Source organism: Homo sapiens, chromosome 16 (assembly GCF_000001405.40).
Source record: "Homo sapiens chromosome 16, GRCh38.p14 Primary Assembly".
Classification (NCBI taxonomy): Eukaryota; Metazoa; Chordata; class Mammalia; order Primates; family Hominidae; genus Homo; species Homo sapiens.
Genome location: NC_000016.10, coordinates 46,587,037 through 46,603,265, shown reverse-complemented (window position 1 = coordinate 46,603,265; position 16,229 = coordinate 46,587,037). Strand labels below are relative to the sequence as shown.

The 16,229-nt window shown below is 37.8% G+C and overlaps 1 protein-coding gene across 6 annotated transcripts in view; it reads left to right on the top strand.

Moving 5' to 3' along the window:
• Positions 1-16,229, top strand: part of SHCBP1 (SHC binding and spindle associated 1) — a 42,789-nt gene that overhangs the window by 18,114 nt on the left and 8,446 nt on the right. For 5 of the 6 annotated variants that reach the window (NR_136738.2, NM_001324318.2, NM_001324319.2 and 2 more), the window contains 2 exons: positions 3,304-3,435; positions 7,596-7,714. Coding sequence is in view for 5 of the 6 variants with exons in the window: in NM_001324318.2 (NP_001311247.1) it covers positions 3,304-3,435; positions 7,596-7,714 (251 nt within the window). In the remaining variant the exon portion in view is untranslated. Of the gene's footprint in view, positions 1-3,303; positions 3,436-4,918; positions 5,908-7,595; positions 7,715-16,229 lie in introns of those variants that run through there. The other variant, XM_011523335.4, reaches the window with a different exon arrangement.

The following is a 16,229-nucleotide window of genomic DNA, read 5'->3' as shown; positions in this document are numbered from 1 at the left end:
ATTGTAGGTGGTTTATGGAAAGGAAATCTAATTTCTAGAATTAAAAAAAAATTCCTAGCAATATTTTTAAAAATTTTAGTATTTTAAAAATTTGTTGCTTGCTCTTATCTCATAGATGTTGCAGATATGTTAGTGCATGGCTTTTTGTTTTTTGTTTCACACTTAGCTTATTTTCGTGAGAGGTATAATGAAGGGCATTTAACTTGAAATTGGTACCAATTATCTTAATTCTCTAAATGCTTGCCGAATGTCACAAATGCTACACTTTGTGTCTTGACCAAAGTATACTTTAGAAAAGATTAATGTTGAAAGATTCTATTAAAAATAACTTTTTGGGCTGGGTGTGGTGGCTTACGCCTGTAATCCCAGCACTTTGGGAGGCCGAGGTGGGCAGATCACTTGAGGCCAGGAGTTTGAGACCAGTCTGGCTAACATGGTGAAACCCCGTCGGTACTAAAAATACAAAAATTAGCCGGGCATGTTGTTGCACGCCTGTAATCCCAGCTACTTGGGAGGCTGAGGCAGAACAATCGCTTGAACCTGGGAGGTGGAGGTTGCAATGAGCCAAGATCATACTACTATGCTTCAGCCTGGGTGACAGAGCAAGACTCTGTCTAAAAAAAATAACTTTTTCACAGTTATAATCTTATTGTTCATTTAGAGTGATTTCTAAATTTAGGTTACTTTACAATTGTTCATCTTGGTCCTGTATATTTTCATAACATGTCAAATTTAGTTACACCTGTTCAACTATTTATCAAAATAGCTTCAAGTTAGCAGTGAAGCTTGTAATGCAAAAAATCATATATCATTTTGGGACTTGTGCAGCTGTTCAGAAACTGCTTAAGCTATGCTCTTTATCTTGTCAGTACTTCTAAATGGAACTGAAGCTGGAAGTTTAGTTTTCTCCTGTTCCTAGTACATCATCTCACCCCCTTTTTTATTTTATGTGTGTAATTTTTGTTCTTTTCTACTCTCCAATTTTTGATGTATAATAGATGTGTGTATATAAATAACACATCTGCAAGATAAATCACTGTGATAAAAACACTTTATTTTTTGGCATAGTGGAAATAACACTGATATTATAGTTTGTATGGTAGATAAGAGTTCTTCCTAGATTGGTGAGGAAATTTTAATGTAATTGCCAGAGTGTCATAAATGGACATATAGAATGCTGATAGTTAAGTATAAAAATGGCTGTATATTGACTAACAGTATGGGTCTGAGAATTGGGGAATCACAAGGTATCTCTAGTGTGCATATATGGAGTGTTCATGAGTAAGATTCAAGCTCATCTGATAGTGATCTATAGCTAACCAATATAACAAGAGATATATATTGAGTACCTACTATGTGCAGGGTGTCAATAGTACTTACAATAGGGTTTTTCTTTCTTGTTTTGAAAATCCATTCATTTAGGTAATGGTTTTATGTTTTAAGTGGAAAGAAATACATAATTATATAAAAATTTGTGTAAAAATCTTTTCTCAATATGCAATTCTTTTTGTACTTTTAATTTTTCTGATGATAAAAAGCAATGGTTATTGTAGAAAATATGCCAAGTACAGTCAGATACATACAACAATCAGAAACAAAATCACTCATAATTCAGGCATCCAGAGTCCACCCCTGGTAGCATTCCAGTGTGTGGAGTCCCCTTGCATTCTCTAGGGCCCCCAAAGCCTTGTTTGTCCTCTTCCAGTGTAGATACATTGAGCGGCTTTGCTTGTTAAAAACAGTTACTGCTTTCATTTACTCAAAGATTCGTCTTTAGTCAATGAGAGTTATTTCTTACAGCTTTGTCTATGTGGTTCTGTTTTATAATGGAAGTCAAGCGAATTCTTTAGTTTTCTGATACTCTAGTTTTTTGTAAGCCCACTCAGGTGTTTGGCTTGCATTAATGGTTTGAGTAAGATTTATACAGATCTGATGGTTTTTTTGTTTTTGTTTTTTTGAGGTGGAGTCTTGCTCTGTCGCCCAGGCTGGAGTGCAGTGGTGTGATCTCAGTTCACTGCAGCCTCTGTCTCCTGGGTTCAAGCGATTCTCCTGGCTCAGCCTCCTGAGTTGCTGGGATTACTGGTGCCTGCCACCATGCCTGGCTAATTTTTGTAGTTTTAGTAGAGACAGGGTTTCTCCATGTTGGCCAGGCTGGTCTCGAACTCCTGACCTCAAGTGATCCACCTGCCCTGGCCTCCCAAAGTGCTAGGATTATAGGCGTGAGCCACTGCACCTCACTGAGATCTGATGCTTTTTTTTTGAGACAGAGTCACTGTCACCCAGGCTGGAGTGCAGTGGCACGATCTCCTCTCACTGCAATCTCCGCCTCCCAGGTTCAAGCAATTCTCCCACCTCGGCCTCCTGAGAAGCTGGGATTACAGGCACATGCCACACTCGGCTAATTTTTATATTTTTAGTAGAGGCAGGATTTCTGTATGTTGGCCAGGCTGCTCTTGAACTCCTGACCTCAAGTGATCCACCTGCCTCAGCCTCCCAAAGTGCTGGGATTACAGGCGTGCGCCACCGTACCCAGCCTTGATCTGATGCTTTTTATTTGTTAATGAGGTAGACTGTTTTTTTCCTGTAACTGTAACTAGTCAGTTTGTCAGATTTTAAGCCAACTGTTTAAGAGAATATTAAAATTAGATCATCTTGAGAACTGTTTAGGTTTATTCAAATGTAATTTATATTAGAATCATAGAATGTTAGAGTTAGAAACAAACTTCTAAGGGTGAGTGCTTTAAAGTTCTTTGACTCAGCTGTAAGTCCTTATTATTATTATTATCATTTTTTGAGATGGGGTCTCATTCTGTCACCCAGAATGAAGGCTGGAGTGCAATGGCATGATCATAGCTTACTGCAGCCTTAAAATTCTGGGATCAAGTGACCCTCCCACCTTAGCCTCCTTGAGTAGTGAGTAATTGGTGCATGCCACCATGCCTGACTAATTTTTTTGGTTTTTGTAGAGATGGAATCTCACTGTGTTGCCTAGGCTGGTCTTGAACATTATTTATTTTTTATAGCACTTTTGAAAGTGAATTTAGTACTGAGCTGATGTGGGATAGTTGATAGGGTAGTCTTCCTGATACGGGACTAGTCAGAGAGTTGTTATTGTTAAAAATTGGATACCCTGATTTAAATTAAACAGGATATGTGGGGAGATAGATTTTATTTAAATGCAACATGGTTGACTGGTCTCATTATCATCTGCAGTCATTTAAACTAGAGAAACTTGTTCTACAGTGTTCACGTTTAGATGTTTTTCCTCACCCATCTTGAGTGTTGTTGCTCTCTCTTCCTTAGGATATGGCCTACCAGATGACATTGTGATAGAAAAGAGGGGCAAAGGCGACACTTTTGTGGACTGCACTGGTGCTGATATTAAAATCTCAGGCATAAAATTTGTTCAGCATGATGCTGTAGAGGGAATCTTAAGTAAGTATCTGAATGTTTGGTATATCATTTGTTCTAAGATTTGAAGGTAAACGGTTCTCTCTATGGAAGATAGAATTTAATGAAATGCCACTCTTGAGTACAGGCATACCTTGTTTTATTGCACTTCACGATGCTGAGTTTTTTTTTTTTTTTTTTTTTTTACAAATTGAAGGTTGTGGCAACCCTGTTTCAAGCCAGTCTGTCGGCACCATTTTCCCAAGAGCATATGCTCACCTTGTGTTTCTGTGTCACATTTTGGTAACTCTCACAATATAGATAATATGCTGATCTGTGAACAGTGATCTTGATGTTACTACTGTAATTGTTTTGGGGTGCCATGAACCACATCCATAAAAGATGGTGAACTTAACTGATAATTGTGTGGGTTTTGACTGTTCCACCGATCAGCCATTCCCCTATCTCTCTCCTTCTCTTTGGGCTACCCTATTCCTTGAGACACAGCAATATTGAAATTAGGCCAGTTAATAACCCTACAATGGCATCTATGTGTTCAAGTGAAAGGAAGAGTCACATGTCTCTCATGTTAAATTTAAAAATTAGAAATGTTTAACATAGTGAGGAAGGCATGTCGAAAGCTGAGATAGGCTGACACCTAGGTCTCTTGTGTCAGTTGGTGAAGTTTTGAATGTAAAGGAAAAGTTCATAAAGGAAATTAAAAGCACTACTCTAGTGAACACATGAATGATAAGAAAGTGAAACAGTCTTATTGCTAATATGGAGAAAGTTTCTGTAGTCTGGATGGAAGATCAAATCAGCCACCACATTCCTTAAATCAGAGCGTATTGCAGAGCAGAACCCTAACTTCCTTCAATTCTGTGAAGACTGAAGGAGGTGAGGAAGCTGTAGAAGAAGAGTTTGAAACTAGCAGCTGTTGGTTCATGAGGTTTAAGGAAAGCAGCCATTTCTGTAACATAAAAGTGCAAGGTGAAGCAGCAAGTGCTGATGCAAGCTACAGAAAGTTAACCAGAAGATCTAGCTAAGGTAATCGATGAAGGTGGATACACTAAACAACACATTTTCAGTGTAGATGAAATAACCTTCTATTGGAAGAAGATTCCATCTAGTACTTTTCATAGTTAGAGAGGAGAAGTCAGTGCTTGGCTTCACAGCTTCAAAGGACAGGCTGACTCTCTTGTTATGAGTGAATGTAACTGGTGACTTTAAGTTGAAGCCAGTGCTCATTTACCATTCTGAAAATCCTAGAGCCCTTAAGAATTATGCCAGATCTACTCTGCCTGTGCCCTAGAAATGGAACAACAAAGCCTGAATGGTAGCACATCTGTTTATAATGTGGTTTACTGAATATTTTAGGCCCATTATTGAGATTTACTACTGAAAAAAAAAATTCCTTTAAAAATATGATTGCTTATTGACAATGTACCTGGTCATCTGAGAGCTATGATGGAGGTGTACTGGGAGATTAATGTTGTTTTCATGCCTGCTAATAATATCCATTCTGCAGCCCATGGATCAAGGAGTAATTTCGACTTTCAAATCTTACTATTTGAGAAATACACTTCCTAAGGCTATACCAGCTATTGATAGTGATTCCTCCGATGGGTCTGGGCAAAGTCAATTGAAAAGTTTCTGGGAAGGAGTCATCATTCTAGATGTCATTAAGAACATTTGTGATTCATGGGAGGAGGTTAAAATCTCAACATTAACAGGGGTTCTGGAGAAGTTGATTCCAGCCCTCATGGATGATTGAGGGGTTCAAGACTTGAATGGAGGAAGTAACTGCAGATGTGGTGGAAATAGCAAGAGAACTAGAGCCTGATGATAGCAAGTAGAACCTCAAGACGTGACTGAATTGCTACAATCTTATAACAAAATTGGAACAGATGAGGAATTGCTTCTTATGGATGAGCGAAGAAGGTGGTTTCCTGAGATAGAATTTCCTGGGGAGGATGCTGTGAACATGGTTGAATGACAACAAATGATTTAGAGTATTAGGTAAACTTGGTAAAGCAGAGGCAGACTTTGATGGGATTGACTCCAATTTTGAAAAACCTTCTACTGTGTGTAAAGTGCTATCAAACAAGATCACATGCTACAGAGAAATCCTTTCATGAAAGGAAGAGTCAATCAATGTGGCAAACTTCATTGTTGTCTTATTTTTAAAAATTGCCATAGCCACCTTAACCTTCAGCAAACACCATTCTGATCAGTAAGCAGCCATCAACATTGAGGTAAGACCCTCCACCAGCAAAAAGATTATGTCTTGCTGAAGGCTCAGAGGATTGTTAGCATGTTTTAGCAAAACAAAGTATCTTAAATTAAGATGTATATATTGTTAAAAAACATAATGCCTTTGTACACTTAATAGATGCATTATAAACATAGTACTCATTAGTATAAACTCATATGCTCATTAGTATAAACACAACTTTTATTTTTTTTTGTTTTTAGAGACAGTCTCACTGTCATCTAGGCTAGAGTGCAATAGCATGATCATAGCTCTCTGTAGCCTCAAACTCCTGGGCTCAAGCAATTCTGCCTTTGCCCCCCAAGTAGCTGGGACTACAGGCGTGTGCCATCACGTCTTGCTAATTTTTGTATTTTTTAGAGATGGGGTTTCACGATGTTGCCCAGGCTGGTCTCAGACTCCTGGCCTTAAGTGATCCACCCACCCCAGACTCCCATAAACATTTGTATGCACTGGGAAACCAAAAAAATTGTGTGACTCACTTTAATTGTGATATTTCCTTTATTGTGGTGGTTTGGAACTCAACCTGCAATATCTCTGGAGTATGAGTGTGTATGGAAGACTGATTATTTATGAAGCTGGGCGTGGTGGCTCACGCCTGCAATCCCAGCACTTTGGGCAGCCGAGGAGGGTGGATCACCTGAGGTCAGGAGTTTGAGACCAGCCTGGCGAACATGGTGGAACCCTGTCTCTACTAAAAATACAAAAACTAGCCAGGTGTGGTGATACACGCCTATGATGCCATCTACTCTGGAGGCTGAAGCAGGAGAATTCCTTGAACCTGGGAAGCAGAGGTTGCAGTGAGCCAAGATCGCACCACTGCACTCCAGCCCAGGCAACAGAGCAAGGCTCCGTCTCCAAAAAAAAAAAAAAGTTTACTCATTTAGGCTGGGCGCAGTGGCTTATGCCTGTAATCCCAACACTTTGGGAGGCTGAGGCGGGTGAATCACCTGAGGTCAGGAGTTCGAGACTAGCCTGGCCAACATGATGAAACCCTGTCTCTACTAAAAAATACAAAAATTAGCTGGGTGTGGTGGCAGGCGCCTGTAATCCCAGCTACTCAGGAGGCTGAGGCAGGAGAATCACTTGAAACCAAGAGGCAGAGGTCTCACTCTGTCACCCAGGCTGGAGTGCAGTGGTGTGATCTCTGCTCACTGCAAGCTCCGCCTTTTGGGTTCAAGCAATTCTCCTGCCTCAACCTCCCAAGTAGCTGGGATTACAGGTGCCCACCACCACGCTCGGCTAATTTTTGTGTTTTTTAGTAGAGACGGGTTTTCACCATGTTGGCCAGGTTGGTCTTGAACTCCTGACCTTGGGTGTTCTGCCCCCCTCGGCCTCCCAAAGTGCTAGGATTACAGGTGTGAGCTACCGCATGCGGCCTAGAAAATTATTTTTTTATGTACATAGTGTGATGACTTAGCAATCTTAACCCTTCAGTAAAAAATAGCCTATTCATGATAATTTGTTGTTTAATATTAGTTTCTTTTCTGTGTGGTGATTTTTTTCTTTTAAAACTTTCCAGTGTTGTGGTCTGTTTTCTCTGTATTCAAGGTAGCACTAGACTGAAGTTATCTCCACATGGGAGTAATGTTTGTTTCCTGGAATCTTTGTATCCCCTTTCTTGAATCAAAGTCTTTTTCTTCCGAGATACTCAGCAAAATTGCTCTCTGATGCTTTTTTTTTCTGGTAATGGAAAGTGCTTTTGTATCTGAGGTCAAGTCATTCTTTTTAAAGAATGTTGCTTTTAGATTGTAGAAAATAACTCAAAATAGTCATTGTTTTATATTTTATGAATTTGTAATTTAGGTAAGAAAATTTAAATGATAGCCATTGAGAAATATTTAGACCATAGCTAATGTCAGCGCGAGGCTATCTCTAACATTGGAAAAGGCACATTACTTCTTAAAACAGTCAGCGTGTATTTTCATCCCAGTTGTTCACCGTGGTAAGACTACGCTGGAAAACTGTGTGCTGCAGTGTGAGACGACCGGAGTCACAGTGCGGACATCAGCAGAGTTTCTAATGAAGAACTCGGATTTATATGGCGCCAAGGTAGAAGCTCTTGTCCTCTTGGGGAAGTAGTTTGTGTTTAAGTTGTAAATGAATATATGAAATATGGGACCAAGATGTATGTGTGTACTCCCACTCTCTTCAGACAGTCATCTCTACCAAGTCAGTCAAACTCAACTGTGCAAGGGTCTTCTCATGTAGCATTTTCAAATGATAGGAAGAAAAGTAATACATCTCACAATGACTTTATGTAGCTTTAAGAGAGGTTTAGACCCTTAAAATTATAACTTTGTAGATTCACACAGTGTTGTAAGAAGTAACAGGGAGAGGTCCTGCATTATGCCCTTCACCAGTGTCCCCTAATGGTAACATCTTGTGAAACTGTCGTGCAACATCACAACCAGAATACTGACATCGATCCTGTCAGTAGAAGAATATTCCCATCACCACAGGGACCCCTCATGCTGCCCTCCTAGAGCCAAACTCACCTGCCTCTCCCACCAACCTCTTCCTTAACTGCAGGCACACCTTAAGCTGTTTTTCATTTCTATTTATTTCATCATTTCAAAAATGTAGAAATGGAATCACACAGTATGTGGCTCTTTGGGATTGGCTTTTCTCACTTAGTGTGGTTCTGTGGAGCTTCACCTAGGTCGTTGTATGTACCAATAGCTTGCTCCTTTTTACTGTGGAGGAATAGTCCAATGTGTGGTTGTTCCACGGTTTGTTTTGTCACTTGTGGAAGGATGTCTAGATTGTCTCCAGTTTTTGCCTATTGTCAGTAAAGCTGCTATAAACGTTCGGGTACAGGTTTTTGTGTGAACACAGTTTTCATTTTTTAAGGAGTAAGTGACAATGGATGCAATTGTAGGTCATATAGTAGTTGCATGTTTAGGTTTTTTTTTTTTAAAGAAACCGCTAAAATGTTTTCAGAGTAGTTGTACCATCCTACTAGCAATGTTTGAGTGGTCTAGTTTCTCCATGTCCTCAAGAGCATTTGGTGTTTTGACTATTTTTTGTTTTAGCCATTCTGATAAGTGTGTAGTGATATCTCATTGTGGTTTTAATTGTCATTTCCCCAGTTGTTAATGATGTTGAGCATTTTCTCATATGCTTATTTGCCACCCTTATATCCTCTTTAGTGAAATATCTGTGACTTTTGCCCCATTTTCTAATTGGATTGTTTGTTCTTCTTTACTGTAGAGGTTTGAGAGTTCTCTGTATATTCTAGATACTAGTCCGTTGTCAGGTATGTGGTTTGGAGACATTTTTTGCCACTCTGTAGCTTGTCTTTTCACCTTCTTCATATGGCCTTTTATGGAGCAAAGTATTTAATTTTGATGAAGTCCACTGTATCAGTTTTTCCTTTTATGAGTTGAGGTTTTGGTGATAAGAACTCTGCCTAGCCATAGATCCTGATTTTCTCCTATTTTTTTTCTAAAATTTTTATAGCGTTATATTTTACATAAGGTTGTGATCCATTTTCTAGTTAATTTTGGTATAAGGTGTGAGGTTTAGGTCATGGTTCATTTCTTTTCCTATTCTGTTTCACTAATCTGTGTAGCCATCCCTCCACCAATACCTGTAGCTATACATTAAGTCTTAAAATCAGGTAGAGTGATTTCTCCTACTTTGTTTTTTTCAAAATTGTTTCAGCTACCCTGGTTCCTTTGCTTTTCAATACAAATGTTAAAATAATTTTGTCTATATCCACGAAAGATCATGCTGAGATTTTGATAGGAACTTTAATAAACCCATATGTCAATTTGGGAAGGATTAACGCCTTCCAATCTTTGAAAACAATGTATTTCTCCATTTATTTAAAATCTCTGATTTCTTTTTTTTTTTGAGATAGGGACTAGGGACTTGTTCTGTCACTCAGGCTGGAATGCGGTGGCATGAACACGGCTTATGGCATAGCTTCAGTCTCCTGGGCTCAAGCCATCTTCCCAACTCTGCCTCTCAAGTAGCTGGGACTAAAGGTGCATGGCACAACACTGAGCTAACATTTTTTACTTTATTTTTTGTAGAGATGGGGTCTTGCCATGTTGCCTAGGCTGTTCTCCAACTCCTAGGCTCAAGCAGTCCTCCTGCTTCAGTCTCCCGAAGTGCTGGGATTATAAACATGAGCCCCCACACCCAGCCAAATCTTTGTTTTCTTTCATCAGCATTGTGTACTCTTCAGCATACAAATGTTGTATGTGTTTTGTTAGATTTGTACCTAATTATTTCACTTTTTTGAGTGATTATGGTATTAATTTCAGTGTCCATACATTCATTGCTAGTATATAGAAATATAATTTATTTTTATATGTTTATGCTATATCCTATGACTTTGTTGAACCACACTTATAGGAATGTTTTTGTAGATTCCTTGGGATTTTCTATATAGAGAGTAATGTTATCTGCAAATAAGTGCAGGTTCTTTTTTTTCTTTTCTAATCTTTATGCCTTTTTCCCCCCTTGCCTTATTGCACTGGCTAGAATTTCCAGCACTATGAAAGCAGACATCCTTACCTTGGTTTTGATATTAGAGAGAATATATTTAGTATTCCATCAAAAAGAATAAGGTTGACCAGGTTTTTAGATATTCGTTATTAAGTTGAAGAATTTCTGCTTTTTTTTTTTTTTTTTTTTTTTTTGAGAATTTTTATCATAAGTGGATGTTGACTTCTTTTTTTCTGAGTTCCTTTCTCAGGACTAGGCTGACTTTTAATGTTTTTTCTGGATAGATTGATATGATCGCATGATTTTTCTTACTGGAAAACAGAAAATGGTGGGTTACATTGGTTGATTTTCAAATTTTGAGCCAGCCTTGCCTCTGTGGCATAAAACCCACTTGGTCATGGTATATAATTATTTTTATATATTGCTGAATTATATTTGCTAATCTTTTGTTAGGAAATTTTGCATCTATATTCATGAATATTGGACTCTAGTTTTGGTTTTCTGTGCCACTGTCTTTGTCTGGTTCTATTATCGATAATAATAGCTTCATAAAATGAATACTGAAGTGTTCCCTTCTCTTGTATTTTGTAAACGAGATTGTGTAGAATTGCTGTTTATTCTTCAGATGTTTGATGGATTTCTCCAATGCAATCACCTGGGCCCGGAGATTTCTCTTTTGGAATTTTTAAAATTATGAATTCAATTTCATTAATAGTTAAAAGGATATTCAAATGACCTATTTCATATTGAGTATATTTTGGTAGTTTGTGCTTTTTGTGGTATTGGACTACTACTTCTAAGTTGTCAGATTTATATGCATAGAATTGTTTGTAGTATTTCCTTATTCTTCTGATATCTGCAGGGTATATAGTAATGATCCCTGTTTCATGCTTGATGTTGGTAGTTTGTGTCTTCTCTCTTTTGAGAACCAACTCTTTGTTTCATTGTTCTGTGTTTTTTTTCTTTTTGATAATTGTTCTGTTTTCAATTTCACTTATGTTCTTTTTTTAGATTTAATTTTAATTTTTAGTTTTACTTTTTTATGTTCTTTTTATGATTTCATTCCTTCTGCTTGTTTTGGATTTATTTTACTTGTTTTGGGTTTTCCACCTGAGAGATTAGATTATTGATTTGAGACTTTTTCTCTTTTCTAATGTAAGCATTTAATGCTATAAACTTGTCTCTCAGCATTGCTCTAGCTGTTTTGTAAATTTTGATATTTATTTTTATTCGTTGGTTTGTGCAGAATTTAGAAGTGTGTTGTTTAGTTTCTAAATATTTGGAGTTTTACTATTATCTTTCTGTTGTTGAATTCCAGTTTCATTCCATTGTGGTCGGAAAACACACTATATGATTTTAATTCTTTTATATTTCTAGAGGTTTCTTTTATGGCTCAGGATATGGTCTATCTGGATACATATTCTGTGAGCAAATGAAAAGAATGTGTATTCCGCTGTCATTGGGTGGTATATTCTATAAAATGTCAACTAGATCAAGTTGGTTGGTGGTGTTGAGTTCTTTTGTATTCTTTCTGATTTTTTTTTTCTGCCAATTGTTGAGAGAGGGGTGTTGAAGTCTCTAACTATAACTGAATTTGTTTGTTTGCCTTTTCAGTACTATTAGTTTTTGCTTCACATATTTTGCAGTTCTGTTTGGTGTATGCTCACTTAGGATTGCTGTGTCTTTTTGGTGAGTCAGCATGTTTATGATTATGTCTGTCTCTGGTAATTTTTTTTGCTCCAAAGTCTACTTTATCTGATGTGAATATAGCCACACCTGCTTTCCTTTGATTATTGTTTGCATGATATGTCTTTTTCTATTTTTTTTAAATTATACTTTAAGTTCTAGGGTACATGTGCACAACGTGCAGGTTTGTTACATATGTATACATGTGCCATGTTGGTGTGCTGCACCCATTAACTCGTCATTTACATTAGGTATATCTCCTAATGCTATCCCTCCCCGCTCCCCTCACCCCACAACAGGCCCCAGTGTGTGATGTTCCCCACCCTGTGTACAAGTGTTCTCATTGTTCAATTCCCACCTATGAGTGACAACATGCGGTGTTTGGTTTTCTGTCCTTGCGATAGTTTGCTCAGAATGATGGTTTCCAGCTTCATCCATGTCCCTACAAAGGACGTGAACTCATCCTTTTTTATGGCTGCATAGTATTCCATGGTGTATATGTGCCACATTTTCTTAATCCAGTCTATTTTTGATGGACATTTTTGTTGGTTCCAAGTCTTTGCTATTGTGAATAGTGCCTCAATAAAGATACATGTGCATGTGTCTTTATAGCAGCATGATTCATAATCCTTTGGGTATATACCCAGTAATGGGATGGCTGGATCAAATGGTATTTCTAGTTCTAGATCCTTGAGGAATTGCCACACTGTCTTCCACAATGGTTGAACTAATATACACTCCCACCAACAGTGTAAAAGTGTTCCTATTTCTCCACATCCTCTCCAGCTCCTGTTGCTTCCTGACTTTTTAATGATCACCATTCTAACTGGTGTGAAATGGTATCTCATTGTGTTTTTGATTTGCATTTCTCTGATGGCCGGTGATGGCGAGCATTTTTTCATGTGTCTGTTGGCTGCATAAATGTCTTCTTTTGAGAAGTGTCTGTTCATATCCTTTGCCCACTTTTTGATGGGGTTGTTTGATTTTTTCTTGTAAATTTGTTTAAGTTCTTTGTAGATTCTGGATATTAGCCCTCTGTCAGATGGGTAGATTGTAAAAATTTTCTTGCATTCTGTAGGTTGCCTGTTCACTCTGATGGTAGTTTGTTCTGCTGTGCAGAAGCTCTTTAGTTTAACTAGATCCCATTTGTCAATTTTGGCTTTTGTTGCCATTGCTTTTGGTGTTTTAGTCATGAAGTCCTGCCATGCGTATGTCCTGAATGGTATTGCCTAGATTTTCTTCTAGGGTTTTAATGGTTTTAGGTCTAACATTTAAGTCTTTAATCCATCTTGAATTAATTTTTGTAAGGTGTAAGGAAGGGATCCAGTTTCAGCTTTCTACATATGACTAGCCAGTTTTCCCAGCACCATTTATTAAATAGGGAATCCTTTCCCCATTTCTTGTTTTTGTCAGGTTTGTCAAAGATCAGATGGTTGTAGATGTGTGGTATTATTTCTGAGGGCTCTGTTCTGTTCCATTGGTCTATATCTCTGTTTTGGTACCAGTACCATGCTGTTTTGGTTACTGTAGTCTTGTAGTATAGTTTGAAGTCAGGTAGCGTGATGCCTCCAGCTTTGTTCTTTTGGCTTAGGATTGTCTTGGCGATGTGGGCTCTTTTTTGGTTCCATATGAACTTTAAAGTAGTTTTTCCAATTCTGTGAAGAAAGTCCTTGGTAGCTTGATGGGGATGGCATTGAATCTATAAATTACCTTGGGCAGTATGGCCATTTTCATGATATTGATTCTTCCTATCCATGAGCATGGAATGTTCTTCCATTTGTGTCCTCTTTTATTTCATTGAGCAGTGGTTTGTAGTTCTCCTTGAAGAGGTCCTTCACATCCCTTATAAGTTGGATTCCTAAGTATTTTATTCTCTTTGAAGCAATTTTGAATGGGAGTTCACTTATGATTTGACTCTCTGTTTATCTGTTATTGGTGTATAGGAATGCTTGTGATTTTTGCACATTGATTTTGTATCCTGAGACTTTGCTGAAGTTGCTTATCAGCTTAAGGAGATATTGGGCTGAGACGATGGGGTTTTCTAGATATGCAATCATGTCATCTGCAAACAGGGACAATTTGACTTCCTCTTTTCCTAATTCAATACCCTTTATTTCTTTCTCCTGCCTGATTGCCCTGGCCAGAACTTCCAACACTATGTTGAATAGGAGTGGTGAGAGAGGGCATCCCTGTCTTGTGTGACAGTTTTCAAAGGGAATGCTTCCAGTTTTTGCCCATTGATTATGATATTGGCTGTGGGTTTGTCATAAACAGCTCTTATTATTTTGAGATACATCCCATCAATACCTAGTTTATTGAGAGTTTTTAGCATGAGACGCTGTTGAATTTTGTTGAAGGCCTTTTCTGCATCTATTGAGATAATCATGTGGTTTTTGTCTTTGGTTCTGTTTATATGATGGATTACGTTTATTGATTTGCATATGTTGAACCAGCCTTGCATCCCAGGGATGAAGCCAACTTGATCATGGTGGATAAGCTTTTTGATGTGCTGCTGGATTCGGTTTGCCAGTATTTTATTGAGGATTTTTGCATCGATGTTCATCAGGCATATTGGTCTAAATTCTCTTTTTTTGTTGTGTCTCTGCCAGGCTTTGGTATCAGGATGATGCTGGCCTCATAAAATGAGTTAGGGAGGATTCCCTCTTTTTCTATTGATTGGAATAGTTTCAGAAGGAATGGTACCAGCTCCTCTTTGTACCTCTGGTAGAATTCGGCTGTGAATCCGTCTGGTCCTAGACTTTTTTTGATTGGTAGGCTATTAAATATTGCCTCAATTTCCGAACCTGTTACTGGTCTATTCAGAGATTCAACTTCTTCCTGGTTTAGTCTTGGGAGGGTGTATGTGTTGAGGAATTTATCCATTTCTTCTAGATTTTCTAGTTTATTTGCATAGAGGTGTTTATAGTGTTCTCTGATGGTAGTTTGTATTTCTGTGGGATTGGTGGTGATATCCCCTTTATTAGTTTTTATTGCATCTATTTGATTCTTCTCTCTTTTTTCTTCTTTATTAGTCTTGCTAGTGGTCTGTCAATTTTGTTAATCTTTTCAGAAAACCAACTCCTGGATTCATTGATTTTTTGAAGGGTTTTTTGTGTCTCTATTTCCTTCAGTTCTTCTCTGATCTTAGTGATTTCTTGCCTTCTGCTAGCTTTGGAATGTGCTTTCTCTTGCTTCTCTAGTTCTTTTAATTGTGATGTTAGGGTGTCAATTTTAGATCTTTCCTGCTTTCTCTTGTGGGCATTTAGTGCTATAAATTTCCTTCTACACACTGCTTTAAATGTGTCCCAGAGATTCTGGTATGTTGTGTCTTTGTTCTCGTTGGTTTCAAAGAACATCTTTGTTTGTGCCTTCATTTCGTTATGTACCCAGTTGTCATTCAGGAGCAGGTTGTTCAGTGTCCATGTAGTGGAGCAGTTTTGTTTTGAGTGAGTTTCTTAATCCTCAGTTCTAGTTTGATTGCACTGTGGTCTGAGAGACAGTTTGTTATAATTTCTGTTCTTTTATATTTGCTGAGGAGTGCTTTACTTCCAACTATGTGGTCAATTTTGGAATAAGTGTGATGTGGTGCTGTGAAGAATGTATATTTTGTTGATTTGGGGTGGAGAGTTCTGTAGATGTCTATTAGGTCCGCTTGGTGCAGAGCTGAGTTCAATTCCTGGGTATCCTTGTTAACTTTCTGTCTTGTTGATCTGTCTAATGTTGACAGTGGGGTGTTAAAGTCTCCCATTATTATTGTGTGGGAGTCTAAGTCTCTTTGTAGGTCTCTAAGGGCATGCTTTATGAATCCGGTGCTCCTGTATTGGGTGCATATATATTTAGGATAGTTATATGCACCCATATATATTTAGGATAGTTAGCTCTTGTTGAATAGTCTTTTTCTATTGTTTTAATTTCAACTTGCCTATATTCTGTTTGAAGTGAGTTGTAGACAGCATATAGTTGAGTCATGTTTTTAATCCACTTTGGCAATCTTTGTCTTTTAATTGTATTTAGACCACTTACATTTAATTATTGATATTAAATCTTTAGTTTATTTCGTGTTTTCTGTTTGTTATGCTTTTCATTTCTTGATTTGCTTTTTTTCTGCCATCCTGTGGATAGCTGAACATTTTTCAGAATTTCATTTGTTTTTGAGAATATCTCTTCATATAACTTTTTTAGTGGTCGCCCTAGGTTGTATATTATATGTACATAACAGTTTACTGGTGTCACCAGTTCAAGTAAAGTATAGAAACCTTGCCTCCTTTTATTATTCTCTACCATCTCCTTTTTATAATTGTCTTAAACATTTGCCTTATGTACGTACATCTAGAACCATATTAGAGAATTTTATGATTTTTGTTTCAAATGTCAAACATAATTTAGAACACTCAAGAGAAGGAAAGCTTATTGTATTTACCTA